Source organism: Homo sapiens, chromosome 9 (assembly GCF_000001405.40).
Source record: "Homo sapiens chromosome 9, GRCh38.p14 Primary Assembly".
In the NCBI taxonomy this organism is placed as follows: Eukaryota; Metazoa; Chordata; class Mammalia; order Primates; family Hominidae; genus Homo; species Homo sapiens.
The window spans coordinates 117,798,029-117,814,633 of record NC_000009.12 but is presented as its reverse complement, the minus strand read 5'-3'; the positions used below and the strand labels follow the sequence as shown (position 1 = coordinate 117,814,633).

Here is a 16,605-nt window from a genome sequence, read left to right as displayed (position 1 = left end):
GTCATATATCATATGAGTGGATTATTTCAGGATTTGTCACACAGTTTTGAGAATTACCCATTATAGGTCAGATGCCATGACTTGGCAATCTGGCTGTAAGCTTCTTGAGGGTAGAGCTTCCCATTTACCATTTAGAAAACCAAGAAGTCATCCGGAATTCCCTACTCTGAATCATCTGGAGAACTTTGCATAGGGCTTTACTCCTAATCAGTGTCAAGTGAATATTTAATAAATTAGATAAAGAAGCGTTCTCAGGGAGCATATTTGAGCTCAGGAGAATGTAGGAGTATAAGCATGCAGGGGTTGATTCTCCATGTAACATTCAAGAACTGGGGTGGCAGAGTCCTCTGAAGTTTTCCCAGAAGAATTATTTAACTAATTCCTTCCGTCTGTATTTCTTGACCAACTAATCTATGCTGGCTCCTGTGATATGTGCTGGGGTTACAAAGCTAAACCAGACACATGTCTGCAATGTGAACCATAAAGAAACAATTCCATTCTAATGTGTTGAGGGCTGGGATAGACGGATGCATGGGGAACATTAGAAGCAGAGAGAGATAGAGGGCATGATGTTGGGCATCTGATATTTTTCCTCCAGTATTTTTTTTCTCTTTTCACCTTGTAAGAGCACACCTTTATTTTGAAGAGCTAAGGATCCACCATTTAATGGTGTTCCTGGCATTCTTGTGGCCACTGGCTAATTGTAAACCCCTCCTCTTGGCTACAATCATTGGCTCATATATTGGTGTGTGATCCAACGTGGTCCAATAAGAGTCCTTCCCTGGAAATTTATAAGCAGATACTAATAGAAGCTCTTTCTTTCCTCTAGATGACAAAAGTCACTTAACAAGCCAGGAGCTATGTGCTGCTTGACCCACCACTCTAGCCATTGCATGGAAAGCCTCTTCATGATATAAGAAAATGAAATCAAACCATAAGGTGAAGCAGGTAATTGTGATAAAGAATAAACAAGTTCTGGATAATTTTTAAGTGTCTAGAGCTCCCTGAGGTCATTCTATCTTTGTATTTCCCAATTACATGAGCCAGTATACTCTCATTTTGGTTTGAAATTTGAATTTCTTATACAGCTATTTTTATATAGCTGTTCTACTACTTCAAATGTGTATAGTATTTTGTACCATTATCTTGTTTTAATCCCAAGACAATATTGTGAGATCAGTTGGTATTATATTATAATACTATTTTCGTAAGAAAACTGAAATCAGAAAAGTAATGATGCAGCTGAATTTGGTGAAGGTAATTGTACCTGAATCTGAGAGATAAATAAAACTTTCTGGTATTTAGGGCAGGATTCTAATCTCATTCATCTTGAGGTCTGATTACCAGACCACACATTTTAGTGTTCTTTCCTGGCATTAATATGAAGCCTATCACAATATCCTACTATTTCATATCCAGAAATATTGGTTGGAGTTCAGTTAATACTTCTACATTGCTAACAATATGTGGGATTAATGTTGCTCCCTCTCTGTTTTTCTCATATATATGAGATATTTATAAGATATGTACACTTGTATGAGAGAGCCAGAGATGGCATGTATGTACATGAGATACATATAAACACATGTGTATGTATAAATTACATATATAATATATAACAAAACACACATGTAAAATACATATATAACGTTTACATATATGTATAGTGTGTATTATTTGTGCACATACTATATTTATCATTCTGACTCAGAGAATTTAATTAAGAAACATGCTTTAGAGGTGTTGATCAGAATTCCCTGGATAAGGTCCATTGCAAATGCCACTTGATAATGATGCATTTATTTTGTTTCCAAAACGTGAACTGTCAGCCTTAAATTGAAACAGGTTGATGCAATGTGATCACATTACATCAGTTTGACTTCAGATAAAGTGTATGTTTGAAATGTAACCATGTGATTGGTTTTAGCAATGTCTTTTAAAAGCTTGTGGTCACTTGTTTTGGACAACCCAGTTTTAGCAATGTCTTTGAAAAGCTTGTAGTCAGTTGTTTTGCACAACCCAGCTTCTGACTTACTGGATATGCTTGAAGTACCTGGTCAGCCCATCACTGATCGTTGTTGACAAGAGGCCAATTACTTGATTGCAAATGATGTCAAAGGCTTTCAACTGACCTCAGTCCTGGGAAGAAGCTAGTTAAAAAGCTTGTTACTGATTTCTTCTTCCAAATATTCTATCTTTGAATTTTTATTAATTAGACTGTCAGAATCTTACTAATTTAGAGAGCATCCATATAAATTGATTCTGTCTTTTACAGTTTTAAAAATATGCATACATCTATTAAGATTTTAATACCGATATCTGCATTATTGATGTTGCTACTGTTATGTGGATGTGGGGATGGGAGTTCCTTGTTGGTTGGTTTGTTAATGTAAGGCAAGAGTATAAGAAAAAAACACTCCTGGAAGATTGATTGTTTTTTCCAGTCAAAGCCTTGTCTAGGAGACATAATTTAAAGTGCTGTTCATTGACCCTTGTGAAACACCCAAGTGATAACGTCTATCTAATGTTGCGTATCAGAAAAAAATTATATCAGGAATGGGTATGCTTACTGTGTCAAGCCAAGCTTTACCTTTTCTATACCACTTTAACTTGAAGATAAAATACACATTTAATGCTAAATAGTAGGTTTTTTCTCCAAACTAATTTACTCAACAATTACTGTATCACAACCAGCACTCATTGAATGATGACTGTCTGCTAAGAACTTTGCTGATTTCTTCCATTCATTATCTCATTTATCTCCCTGATGGAATTTTTTTTAAATTTTTATTATAACTTAATCAAAATATATACATACCCATGGCTTGAAAAAGTGCTCAGAATGGTTTATAATTAAAAAGAGTTTTGCCATACCACATTCTTGATTCCTGCTACTCAAAAGGAATCTCATTTCTCAAAATCAATGCTGGCATTATTTTCTAGTATTTAGCAGCATACTTCTAAAAGTTTATGTGTCTGGTAATATTGTTTGACTTATCAACTTTAGGCATGTTTTTCTCCACATTTAACATCTTTCCATAAAGTAAGCATAATTATAATATGGTTTCATTTAAAATAAAATATATATGTTCATATTGTCATATTTACATAAAAGAACATGAAATTTGCTTTTTCTTCCTCTAATATTTTCATGTATTTTAGTGGAGTCAGTAATTGCCTATCTTTACTTTCACAATATTTTATAGGCTAACATCATTTTTTTTTTTTTTTTGAGATGGAGTCTTTCTCTGTCACCTAGGCTGGAGTGCGATGGTACGATCTCGGCTCACTGCAACCTCCATCTCCCGGGTTCAAGAGATTCTGCTGCCTCAGCCTCCCGAGTAGCTGGGATTAGAGGTGCCCACCACCATGTCCAGCTAATTTTTTGTACTTTTAGGAGAGATGTGGTTTCACCATGTTGGCCAGGCTGGTCTTGAACTCTTGACCTCTAAGTGATCCGCCCACCTCAGCCTCCCAACGTGCTGGTATTACGGACGTGAGCCACTGGACCCAGCCGTATCATTTTTTAACACACCATCACATACACTAAGCACTAAATGATCATTTCACATCATCTATAGTTTTTTTTGTTGTTATTTTTTTAACTCCACGTGCCAGACCTCTTACCTTGTTCTTTTGCTCCATTTGGAAGTTTGTTCCCTGAGCCTTATATAAAATGATCCATCTAGAACTTCCTTCCATTATAACTGTAAAACTTCGTTATGAGATTTTTCTAAAATGGAAGATGTGTTTCACGGATCTTATTACTCCCACTTTCATATTTAGTCCTTCAACCTTATAGGAGTGTATCTCCTAATAGCTTACTAAGCAAATATATGGGAAGTAGTACTTACAAGCCTTTACTTACCTGAAGTTATTCTTTCATGTTTACTATATGTTTATGATTCAGCTGGTTGGAAATATTGTCTCTCAAATTTTTAAAAACATCACTTTGTCTTCTAACAATTCTGCACTGTCTTTGAGAGGATTGATATATCCTGATTATTTTTTCTTTTTAAAGATGGTCTTCCCCATCCAAACTGGAAGTGTTTAGACGTTTCTATTTACCCTTTCATTTCAAGTCATGAAAATGTATGATGCTGTGGCCTTTTCAGTATCTTTTCTTTTCTCTTTCTTTCTGTAATCTGGCCACTTACTGGAAAATTTCAATCTGGAAACTCTTTTCTCCTTCAGTTCAAGGAATTTTATTTATTTGTATTTTAGAAATACCTGTAATACCTATTACCTAAAATCATTCTTTCTAAATTAGCTCTTTAATATTCTTATCTTTTATCTCCCACCACAACAATTAGGTCCTGCCAAGAGACAGGAATCACACAGTAATTTTGACAGGGAACATTTAATATGAAAATTATTAATTAAAATGTGATATTGTAGTAATGAGGAATTAGCTAGTAAAAGGTAAAGATAACACTAGAGAATATAAGAGTAGCAGGCATAGGTAAGGGCCACAATCCCTAAGGTTATAATCGAACACCAAGGGAAAATCCCTCCCCTACTTCTAAGGTGGATCTAGATTCCACTGGAGAGGGTGTGACCATGGATAACTGAATTACCATTCACCTCAGAGAAGTTCACTGAGGTGCTTCACCGGCAGGATTTACCACAGTCTGTACTCTGCACTGCCATGTCGTAGCCTTCCACAGAGAGGTGCCATACCCAAGAACGCAACATGAAACCAAACAAGAGAGTTCTGGGGAAGTGAGGCAGGTCCCATGTACTGCTGACCACTGGGCTACCACACTCTACAGGGGTTGGGTGCTGTAGAAGCTGTGTGTGCTACAGGAACCCAGGGAGAAGGGCAAACTAGAGCCAGGAAGAAAAGACCCTTCATTCTCTAGTTTTCCTCCAGTTTCATGCCAACTGGCAAAGAAGGAATATTCATAAGGCCCATCTCCCTTGTCTTAGAGAAGGCTATAAAGGATGCATTTAGAGCTTACAGGCAGTACTTGGAAAACTGTCCCACACAATTTTTATCTTTTTGCCATTTTCTACTGTCTGAATATTTTCTTAACTTTGTCTTGTAACTTTTTATTGGATTTAAAATTTCAGTCAAGGTATGTATATGTACATATATACATGTATATATATATACACACATAATTTGTAAGAATTATTTCCTGTTTTTTTATTATCTTTTATGCCATCCTCTTCGTTTTTTTCAGGTACAACTTCTAGGCTTACATTATTAATAAGCTTTGGTTCAAGTTTTATTTCACTCCCTGTCATATCTGTTTTCTTCCAGCTTTTCCTTTCATATTTATTGGTTTAGAATTTTCCCAATCATTTTGGATGCCTGGAAACTATTAGTTGATCCTTTACTGCTTTTTCACCTTCTAGGTACAAAAAAACTAATTTGAAGCTTTGAGCAAATTGGAGGGGTTTCTCACTGGGCTTTATTATCAAAGTGAAGGAGTAGGGAATCACTAATTTCACTAACTGATCACAGTAACCATATTTGAAAGTCCTTTTTCTAGGGCCATTCAGATTTATTCCATCCCCCTGCCTCTGATCTCTGGGCACAACTTCTCTGTGGTTTACGAGAACTCAGGAGATGGAGTGATGTTCAACTCCTTCATACACAGACATTCAATCAGCCCCCCAATTTTTACCATCCTCATATATCTGTTGTTATATATTGACTTCTTAGGATGAATTGGTTTGTTTTTCATCAGTATCTCCCTCTGCAGACACTTATTTTGTGGTTCTGCATCTCTTTGTTGAATCTTCCATCTTCAATTCCTAAAACTTTTTGAAGTCTCTTATGGAGTGCCTTTTCTTCTTCAATTTTTTTGGTTCTTGTAGATTTGTATGATTTTTTATTTCTTTACTATCACTTGAGAGATGCATTTGGAAAGGAAAAGATAAATGTGTTCTTCTATTGTATGTTATTTTCTAATTTAACAGGCTTATTGAACAATTGTTTATTGAAGTCAAAATTCTTCTTAGAAATGATCTAGTCACAAATAATAAATTGTTTTAAAAATTAATCTTGAAAAAATGATAATTCTCTCATCTGAGAAAATACATGAAGAAGAAAAAAATTGGGTGAGTGAATGAGAAAAGGAATGAAAGCAGAAATAAACAATTGTCATATCGGTGGAGAGTAGGGTGTAGTAGAAAGGACAGTGAGCTGACAGAATCTGAGTCCTGGTTTGTGTCTCACTTGCTGAAAAGCCCTGGGCAAGTCAGCTCTTTAACTGATCTGAATCTCCTCATCTGTACAGTGGGTCAGGGAAGGTTGGGACAAGAAATATGAGGGATCCCTTCAGGACTTACAGTCATCTCTGCTCCTTATCTTTATCTTCTTTTAAAAAAAAATAACAAATAAATTTAAGAATAAGGGAGCCCAGAATTTTCTTAAAGCACTGATTCTCAACTACCGGGGTGCCACAGACCCCAGTGAGAAGCTGATAAATTTGATGTGGTCTTTAGGAGCATGTACATATACAAGGAAACATTCAGTTTAGAATTTCAGAGTTCTCAGGCATCTGAAGACTCACAAGAGGATTGCCATAGCCATGAAGGAATGTTGACCTTAGAGCTTTTGTTCTCCTCCAAGGTGACCTCTGGACTTTGTCTTCCGCAGGGGACTGCTGATGTGTGTTTCCTTGGGATTTTGAGGCATCCCAGAACATAGTGAAAAAAATGCAAAGATTTTCCTTGCATGTAAACCTTGTCATTCAGGTGAACTAATTTTCTCTTTGTAAATCAGGACATTTGCAAATGTTTCATTAGCTTTGGCCCAGATAACTCCGTAACAAATGCATTTGCTATGTGGTGCAGATGATGTATCAGCACAAACATCTCACTGGGCCCCCATTAATTATATACATAGAATGAAGGAACTGAGAAGATGCAGTCACAGAAATTCCGTTTAGGGGTATATTTCCCTGGGAGAACTAGATACCTTATGATGAAAGAATACTATAAGCTATCTGACCTATTTTTTTTTCAACAAACATGAGAGTGAATCGTTCATTCTTTGTTTCATTTAGTTGCCTAATATTTATTGAGCATCAAGCAAGGATGCTAGGTGCTAGAGATAAATAAATAAACAAAAGAGATATAGCCCTTGTCCTCATGGAACTAACGTGTGGAGGTGATAATTAGAAAGGGATCACAGAAAAGAATATAAAATTACCATAATTATCAGGAGTTGTGAGAGCAGTTAAAAGGTTTGGGGGTTGGAACACATCTGGTAAGGAGAGGTCAAGGACATTTTGGCAAAGGAAGTGATGTTAGAGCTGAATTCTGAAGGGTAAGTTGGAAGTAAACTGGCTGAAAAGTTGGGGAAAGGGGAGCTCAAGAGTTATAATACATTGGGCTGAGGCACATGTGCAATATTTGTTGAAAAGAAAAAAAGTCCAGTGATGCAGGAGGATAAAAATATAATTAGAGGAGATTGGAAAGGCATAGGAGTCGCTCATGCCGCGTCTATTTTGACTTTTAATGCAGGGGCAATGAGAAGCCTATGGGGGAATTGAAGGGATGCAGAAATTAATCAAAACACCAATGCAAAGAACTTCAGGTTAAGAATTGGCATGAGAAAAGCATTTAGTGAACGTTTCCTGTGTGTACCATTAGACCAGCAATAGGCAGACTTTTCCACCAAAGGCCAGACAGTAAATATTTTAGGCTTTGTGGGCTATGATGAGTTTTTTTTGTTGCATTTATCTTTTCCTTTTCTCACAACACTTTACAAATATAAAACCAATCTTCTCTCAAAGACAATGTTAAACTAGACTAAAGGCAGGATTTGGGCCCCCAGTGTGTGCTCAACCCCTGCAATAGATGACCATAAGCTCTATGAGGAAAAAAGGTAATAGTTCTCTTACTCACTATGAATTTCCAGTGCCCAAAACAGCATCAGGCACATAGTGGGTACTTAATGTAAATGTATTTAATTAATCAGTGGCTGAACCAGGTGTTTTAATTACTTAATATATCTATTGATGAGAGAAACAAATGATATGCTGGTATCATTGTCATTGACTTTTTCATTATTGTTGCCATTGTTATTCTTGCTGTCATTCTTCACAAGTCAAGGATAAGAAAATAGTTACATTTGCCCAAAATCATATAGCCAACAAGTGACAGAGCCAGAATTTAAACAAAGTCTATAAAATTTCTAATCCTATGCTCTTTCTTATGATTACACTGCCTCTTTTGTAAATGACACATAAACACTGTGTAATATTAGTAAACATCAGATGACAGAAGCACCACCAAATACTAAGGGGGAAATGTGCCATTCAGAATGAGGGACAGAGAACATGCACCAATCTCCTCCTTTCTCCTGAGATGATGATAAATGTCAAAGACTTGGAACCAACCCACATGCTCATCAAGGATAGACTGGATTAAAAAAAATGTGGCACATATACACCATCGAATACTATGCAGCCATAAAAAAGGATGAGTTCATGTCCTTTGCAGGCACATGGATGAAGCTGGAAACCATCATTCTCAGCAAACTAACACAAGAACAGAAAACCAAATGCCGCATGTTCTCACTCATATGTGGGGATTGAACAATGAGAACACATGGACACAGGGAGGGGAATATCACACACCGGGGTCTGTCAGAGGGTGGGGGGCTAGGGGAGAGATCGAATGAGAAGAAATACCTAATGTAGATGATGGGTTGATGGGTGTAGCAAACCACCATGGCACATGTATACCTAGGTAACAAAGCTGCACGTTCTGCACCTGTATCCTAGAACTTAAAGTATAATTTTTTAAAGAAAAAAAAAGAATGTTTATGGGCAGGAAGGTTTAACACAAAAAATAATAAAGTAAGGGAAGGAGAGGGAGGGAGGGTAAAAGAAGGAAGAAAGGAGAGAGCATGGGAGAGAATAAAACAAAAGAAAGCATCATGGATGAGAGAAGTCAAACACTTTTCAGGATCAGATGAGACTGTTCACTGATGAGACAGATGTGTATGTATGAAAGAGGTATTCACTAATGTAAGAATTACCTGCCCAATAGGTTACAGATATGAATCTCTCTCATAACCTCCTATGACCAGGTATTACTGCAGGTTCTGTGGATTTTTATCTATCAGGGAAGGAAGGTGTCTGTCTCTTCTTGCAAGCATTTCAAATGTTTATGTTATTTTCTTGGCATTCCTATTACTTGGTTTGGAAGATGTTGAGAATTTCCTTTTCCTTGTCTCATGAAAGAAGAGAAAACAACTTATCTAGGAAATTACATTTTTCACAATGGCAGCAAAAACTCAGGTTACTCTATGTCTGCCATCCCCTTTACCTACTCTAGTCTTCTTATGCAGATTGAGGAATGAGGAAGAGGGATGCTAGTGTTCCTAATAGGAGGGTTGCTTGCTGGTTCCTTGCAAGATCTAGAGGTCAGACATGAAGGAACGTGGCCCCAAAGTTGGCTATTCTTAGGTTTCTATTTAGAATATAAGTGATGGGATATTTTATCTTTAGCTTTGAGACTTAGATACAATTTAGACAACACAAATAAAAATTTCATCAAACATCTTATTATAGCAATATTTAGTCCAGTTTGGAAAAATAGCACTGAAAATTACAGGAGGACATTTTCTGAGGGATATTGATAGTGGGAGTGATTTGACAGAAACTCTAGTATAATTGTTAGCGTGGAAAGACTTAAAGATATCATAAAAGGACAGAGCACAGGGAAAAAAAGATAATTAGAAATTCTGGAAATAAACACATAAACCAAAAACAATAATATATTTAAAATATGAAGCTAACTAAAAAAAATGAAGCTAACTAAAGCATGACATAATTTTGAGCTATTTTATGTTTTTTTATTAGCAGAGTCTACAATTTGACTGATGTTGTGAACATCCCCCTTGGCCTGATGGTGGCCAATGCCATTAGAAGCAATGTGAAGGCAAAGTTGTAGCATTTTCTTTGGCTTTATATTAATTCGGTTTTCAAATTCAATTGTTAGAAGCAGCCTAGAAACACACCACAGAGGACTGAATTAGGTGACACTCTCAGGATACAGGTTCAGCCCTTGCTCTACTTTCCCTCTTAAACTTTGCCCCCTTATTACCTTGCTTGCCTGACCTTAGTCCCAGTCCTGTCCTAGCATTCCTAACCACTATGCAAGGCTGCATTATTTTATCTATCATCACCATAGCAAAGTGACTGGCATCTTGTAGGTCCCTGCCACTCAAAGAGTGGTCCAAGGACCAGCAGTATGAGCTTCTTCTGTAATCTTTTATGAAATGCAGAATCTTAGGTGCTACCCCAGACCTACTATAAAAGTATTTGCATTTTAACATAATCCCTAGATAGATTGTATGTTCATCGAAATTACAAATCACTGCCCTAACTGAATTTTCTTCTTAACGAGGACCTACCTACTCTTATACCTATTTAAACTAGTTGTTCGGATTTGTGTGTGTGTGTGTGTGTGTGTGTGTGTGTGTGTGTGTGATTTTAAAGCTGTCACTATAAAATACAGAAAAATCTCAGAATGAGAACTGGCGAGAAAGAGTAATACAATGGTAACGATCACACAATTTGGAGTAGAACAGCGTTGACTTCAAGTTTTAGTTTCACCACTGTATAGCTGGGCACCTATTTACCTTTCCTTAACTTCAATCTTCTCAAATGGGCACATTAGTCAGTTCAGGCTTGGCTACACTGTATAACATACAGACCTTAAATTTCAGAATTCACGTGCATATGTCTATGTATGGCTGTGATTCTCCTCTGTATTGTCTTTGCTTTGGCAAAACTAGGCTGACTGGGCAGACTCAATCTCAGACCTTGTTAGTCTAATAGAAAGAAAAATGAGATATAACAAAGCCCATTCAAAATCTTGAAGCTTCTGCTCAACAGTGACATCTGTCACTGCCACTCACCTTCTGCATCACCTAGTCAGCCTTCAGTGATCAAGAAGCATATTCCTCTCACAGGGAGAGGCACTGCAGAGTGGGAAATAGGGGTGCTAGGCAAAATGGTAACCAACAATGGAAAGAATAACAATACTACCTCTCTCTCATATTAGTTTGAGAACTGAATGCCTTAAGACACAAGAAATCCTTGATCCTTTATTCCATAGCTGGGTAGCTATTGCACCCTTCTGAACTTCAGTTTCCTTTTCTGCAAAATGAGAATAATAAATACCAGCACATAATAAAGCTTTAAAAGGCATGCCTGTGTGGCACATAGTAGGTACTTAGCGAAAAGAGACTATGAACATAGCAGAAATAATTATCTTCTTTTATGCTTTCAGAAGTAGAAAATGCTGAATCCTCACAAAAAATTTTGAGTTAGAGATGCTGGACGAGGCATAAAAAAACTGAGAGTTGCTTCATTCTCTCTTTCCTCTGGGTCTGCATCCTTCTTTGCAATAGCTTGTCAGGAAGCCTGCTATCCTTTGGAAGCACAGGACGGAAGAGAGTGTGTGTTTGCAGAGATAACATGGAGCGAGTTCAGGGGTTACTAATTGGGTTTCTGCTTACCTTTCATATTCATTCAGAATCCCAACCAGAACAGGTGTTACAGCAGCCTCCCTCCATCTTTCTCCATCCTCTCTCCCATCTGCTGACAGCACGCATGTCTCTTCCAAAGTCACTTCCCCACTTAAATTGTAAGTCTAATCAGAAACTGATGTGGCTGCAAAACTAGGGAGAGACAAACATGTCCGTGTCGCCTATGAAGATATTTTGAGATTGGATTTGATAGTACAATAAAAGTCCATACAAGGAGTGTTTAACTCTCTCCTGGAAGTGGAGTCTGACAGCCCTGACCCCCTACGTGGCCCACATAGTTACCCCTTACAGTCTGATACTGGTTCAGGGGATTTAGAAAATGAAGCCCAATTGCAAAGCTTTTTAGTCTAAGAATTGCTTCCATGCAGTGCAGATCATTTAATCCTTCCCAGAACCCTAAGGAAATGAATGTAGCTATCATATCTTCCTCTCCCTTCCTTTACAGATGAGGACACAAAGGGTCATCAAGATAATGTGACATGCTCTCACGGGCACAATTAGAAAATAGTGAAGGCAGGGGGAAAGCCCATATCTTCTACTCCCTTGTCCTTCACAGGTGTACACATTCCCTACACCATTTTTCCTCCAGAATCCCATTACCCTCTGGTGCAGAGTTAAAGTAGAGTTTCTGGAGCCATAAACCTGAGAGAACAGACCCTAGACAGCACTGACCTCTCTAAGCCAACCCCACTACTCTCATGCTCCATTTGATGAGGATTTTCATTTTCCCATCACCTCTGTCACTAATGCCATTTAGCCTCCTTGCTTCCAGCCTTGACTATCCTTATCCACAGGCAACCAGAGGAAAGTCTTTAGTGCAAATCTAACCATGTCAATTTCTTCTCTATTCCTGCAAAACGTTGCTTTAAAAAAAGGTACTCTGTGATAGACCTACAGTGCTTGTTATTTCCTGTTCTCCTCTCTAACTGTGACCCTCTCCATTTCACCGATTGAACTGCTTGAAGAATCTGGATTAAACCAAGTTTCTTCTCTTTCACATCTTGCAAATGCTGTTCCCTCTGCTATATGGTCCTCCCTTCACTTCTCTTCCTGTTCAATCACCAGTCACCTATAGATACTCTGCAAAGGTGGTACCTAGAAGTGTCCATGATGTGCTCCTCATCAGGGAGGGAAAACATTCTGAAAGCTCTCAATGTCTCCTGCAACTCAGTACTTCTTGTTGCAGTAGCAATGTTCCTCTGCAAGCCCTCTTTCCCTACTCTTAGCAGACACACTAGACTGGAAGGTCCTTGAAGGCAGGAACTTTTCTTATCTATTTCTATACTCATAGCTTCTAGTGCAGCACTGAGTAAAGCCCTACATCAGTCAATCTGTTAAAACTAAAAATTCTTAGGATGAGAGATTCTTCTGCTTAGTCCAGATCACAGAAATGTAGAGTGTGAAGCTATCTCAGTCTTTATGTAATTCCCCTGCTTCAAATCATCCAAATTGCATTGAACTTAAGGCTTAAGAAGACTTACGCACAATCCAGCCTTCCAGCTTTATCTTCCTCTCTCTTCCTTTATCTATCACATCCTCTATCTGAATAAGGGGGACATATATCCTGTGAATATCTTGAGTACTTTTTCTCCTGTTTGCTCACTGCTTCACTTCTAGAACCTAGAAGAGTGTTTTTCAACTCTGGCTGCATATTACCATTGCCTAGGAGGCTTTTAAAACATACTGATGCCAGAGGCCTGCTCCATGCCAATTAAATAGAATTACTTGGATGGGCCAAAGATCAGTATTTCTTAAAAAGTACACTAGGTTATTTTAATATGCAGCCAGGATTGATGAACACTGGAACAAAATAATGCCTGGCACAGAATGGGTACTTAATAAGCATTTGTTCAAATAATGAATGCATAAATACATAAACGTCCTGTATTAAGATGCACTTACTAATGTGCATTCATTATCAGCCCTAAGCCCCAAGCACACGTGCATATACTGGCTGGGAGCTGCTTGAGGGTGAACAAGCTGTATTACATATTTTTGCTTCTTCAATTATAACATATAATAGAAACTCAATGTTTATTAAATGAATGTGCTGTTGTGTATACCCAGGACAAGAAGCAGGAAGATCTACCGGACAGATGGAGAAGAGTGATGTAAAAGAGGATGCATGGAAAGAGGCCATTTTGGAGTCAGATGGATCTGATTTTGAATTCCAACTTTATTACCTACCAACTCTGTGAACTGTAAGCAAGTTTCCTCATTTGTAAATGGGGGTAAATTACCCTTCTCAGCATGATTGTGCATCTTAAATGGAAAAAACAGCATGAAAGTATTTATCCCAGTACCTCATACATTAAAGATACTTAGATAAAGTCTCTTCACTTCTTCTTTCTTTATCTTCCCTTTGACACAAGTCTACCTAGGCTGATTATGTTGAACCTTTGAGAGATGATCAGAGAAAAATGGAGCGACAGAGAGAGAGAGAGAGAGGCAGAGGAAGGCAGTGGGCAAAGACAGAAGTGAGTCAGAGGAAAATCTGATGGTGGTTATAGAGTAATGAAATAGCTGTTATTGACCACAGTCAAAACACAGCCTAGTCTTTAAGCCTTGCATTAGGCATTCTTTTTCCTCTGCCCAATCCACACGTGTAACACAGCCATAAATCACTGTCCTTCATAAGCAACAGACAGTAAGTGCCATGAGCAGTAGTGACAATATTTATCACCAGGTAAGCAGTTCCATATAGGGGTTGCTTGGGCCAAGCTCCTAACCATTTGGAAGAACTGCAACCACTATGCCTCATGCCTTCTGTCCTAGGCTTTTTTGGAATAAGGGGTGTGAAAACAAGGCTGGCCACGGAATGTAAAGCAACTGGCTTCTAGTTCACCTTTTATGTGGTCACAATGGAGACAGGGACTCAATGAGATTGTCACTTGATGTCCCTTCCAGTGTTTCATAGATCTGGGGCTCTGGGGCTCATTGGAAGTACATTTTATCTCATTTAAGCAGTTAGTGATACATTTGATCAACCATTCTGCTTCTAAGGAGATTTTACTTGATCTCATCTTTGGTGATGCTAAGACAAATTATTTTTTTGTAATGGGTTGAGCTACAAATTTGAGGTGGAAATAAGATATTTTTAATTGGTTTAATGATTTACACTAGTTCCCAGTTGCCTTAATAACATGAATTCTAACTTTTGAGACTTCTCTCTTCTTCTGATTTGTTCAAAACCTACAAGGCTCAAGTGTCCTAAAAAGAAAAGTTAGTCCAAGGTATAATATAGGTCTGAAACTCTTCCAAGGGGTTATTTGTTACTAACTTCATCCTTAGAGGGCTGTGAGCATTTTTCTTTGAAATCCTAGAAGCAATCTCTCTGTCTTTCTTTCTCATCTACCCTATTTTTCTCCCTTTTTTAAATCTTTCCTTAAAAATGCTATGTTAAAATTTCCCAACCTTCACCAAACTTGAAGCTAGGCAGAGGCAAGGAAATACCATAGGTTGACAAATTAGATAAGCTAAACTCTTATTCTTAGGGAGAAAGTCCTTTATCTCCGATGTATCTTTCTTTGAGTTTCTCTTTGAACTTGGCTTTTCTCATCACAGAGGTGATGCACTGGTATAGGGAAAAGTAGTCAACCACGTGGCCCAGTTTAGTTCACTATGTAATCATTCTGGAATTTTGAATAAAGAATACCTATGAACGTACTTTGTTCCTTCTCTGCCTGTCCCCTGTGAAAATATACCTTTCTTAGTGCTCTCATGGGCACTGGCTGGGTCAAGAGAGAATTTCAACATTCAAGAATCCTGGGTTGCATCAATTGCCACCATTCCCACTATAATTTACAGATACTGAAGACTAGAAAGTGTATGTATGCACAAATGACAAGGATTTAGAAATCCAGTTGGTATCCAAATATCTTTCCAAAGAATGTATTCTGCCCTACCAAAGAAATACTCTACAGATCTTTAGTTTTGTTTCTTCATTGCAACCTGCTCTCCCTTACACTTGCTAAAGCATGCATAACCCCCTCTCTCCCAATCTCTGTTTCCTGCTTCTTTCTCTAGACTCATCTCCCAACATACTTCCCTTGCCCAGACCACCCCAGCCACACAACCTCTCTAGTCCACAAGCACTCCAAGGTCTTTCCCACAATGAGGACCTCAAGGTATGCTTTACCCACTGTGGTGGAATATTTTAATGCTACTTTCCCTCCCCCCACCCAAACATCTACTCCAAATAAACACAAATTTTTGTCTGGATCCTTTTCTCCATGAGGACTAAGATTTTTCTCTATTTTGTTGATATTTTTTGCATGTTTGTCCCTTCTAAATCTCATGCTGAAATGTGATTCCCAGTGTTGGAGGTGGAGCCTGGGGGGAGGTGATTGGATTGTGGGGGTGAATCCCTCATGAATGCTTTAGCATCTTCCCCTTTGTGATAAGTGAGTTCTTGCTCCATTAGTCCATGTCAGATCTAGTTGTTTAAAAATGTGTGGCACCTCTTCCCTCTTTTCTCTTGCTCCTGCTCTCACCATGTGATGTGCCTATTCCCCCTTCACCTTCTACCGTGATTGGAAGCTTCCTAAGGCTTTGCCAGAAACAGAGGCCAAAACCATGCTTCCTGTACAGGCTACAGAACCATGAGCCAATTAAGTTTCTTTTCTTTATAAATTATCTAGCCTTAGGTATTTCTTTATAGTAATGCAAAAAGGACCTAATACATTTGTTATTGCTATATCTCTGGTGTTTAGAACAGTTTCTGGCACACAGTAGGTATTTAACACATATGTATTAAATGGATGAATGCTAGCACATATTTTTTTCTATTTAGGAAATAAGGCAATTTGGCAATTGCACAGAATTTCAAAACACATAGATACATTAAAACCAGGCAGAGGCAGCTGGGAAAAGGAAGACAAGCAGACAAGCTTGGAGTTCATCTGTTCAGCCAAAAGGCCAGTGTTGGGAGTGGAAGCTCCTCCCAACCACCTGGCACCAATCAGAGCAGCAAGACTTCTTTTTCAAAGGCAGCAAATTCATTTGCAAATGAAAATAAATAAAACTTTATTGAAATATGAAATTGCAAATGGAAATGGCTGGTTGGGGCCCTTTGCAGCAATTAT

General features: G+C 38.1%; 1 long non-coding RNA gene across 3 annotated transcripts in view; it reads right to left on the bottom strand.

The window, feature by feature from the left end:
* LOC105376244 (uncharacterized) overlaps positions 1-16,605 on the bottom strand; it is a 111,773-nt gene that overhangs the window by 56,596 nt on the left and 38,572 nt on the right. For 2 of the 3 annotated variants that reach the window (XR_007061905.1, XR_007061906.1), the window contains one exon: positions 11,492-11,653. The exons of the other annotated variant lie outside the window; for it this stretch is intronic. This is a non-coding gene — a long non-coding RNA (uncharacterized LOC105376244). The remainder of the gene's footprint in view (positions 1-11,491; positions 11,654-16,605) is intronic. 3 annotated transcript variants of the gene reach the window in all.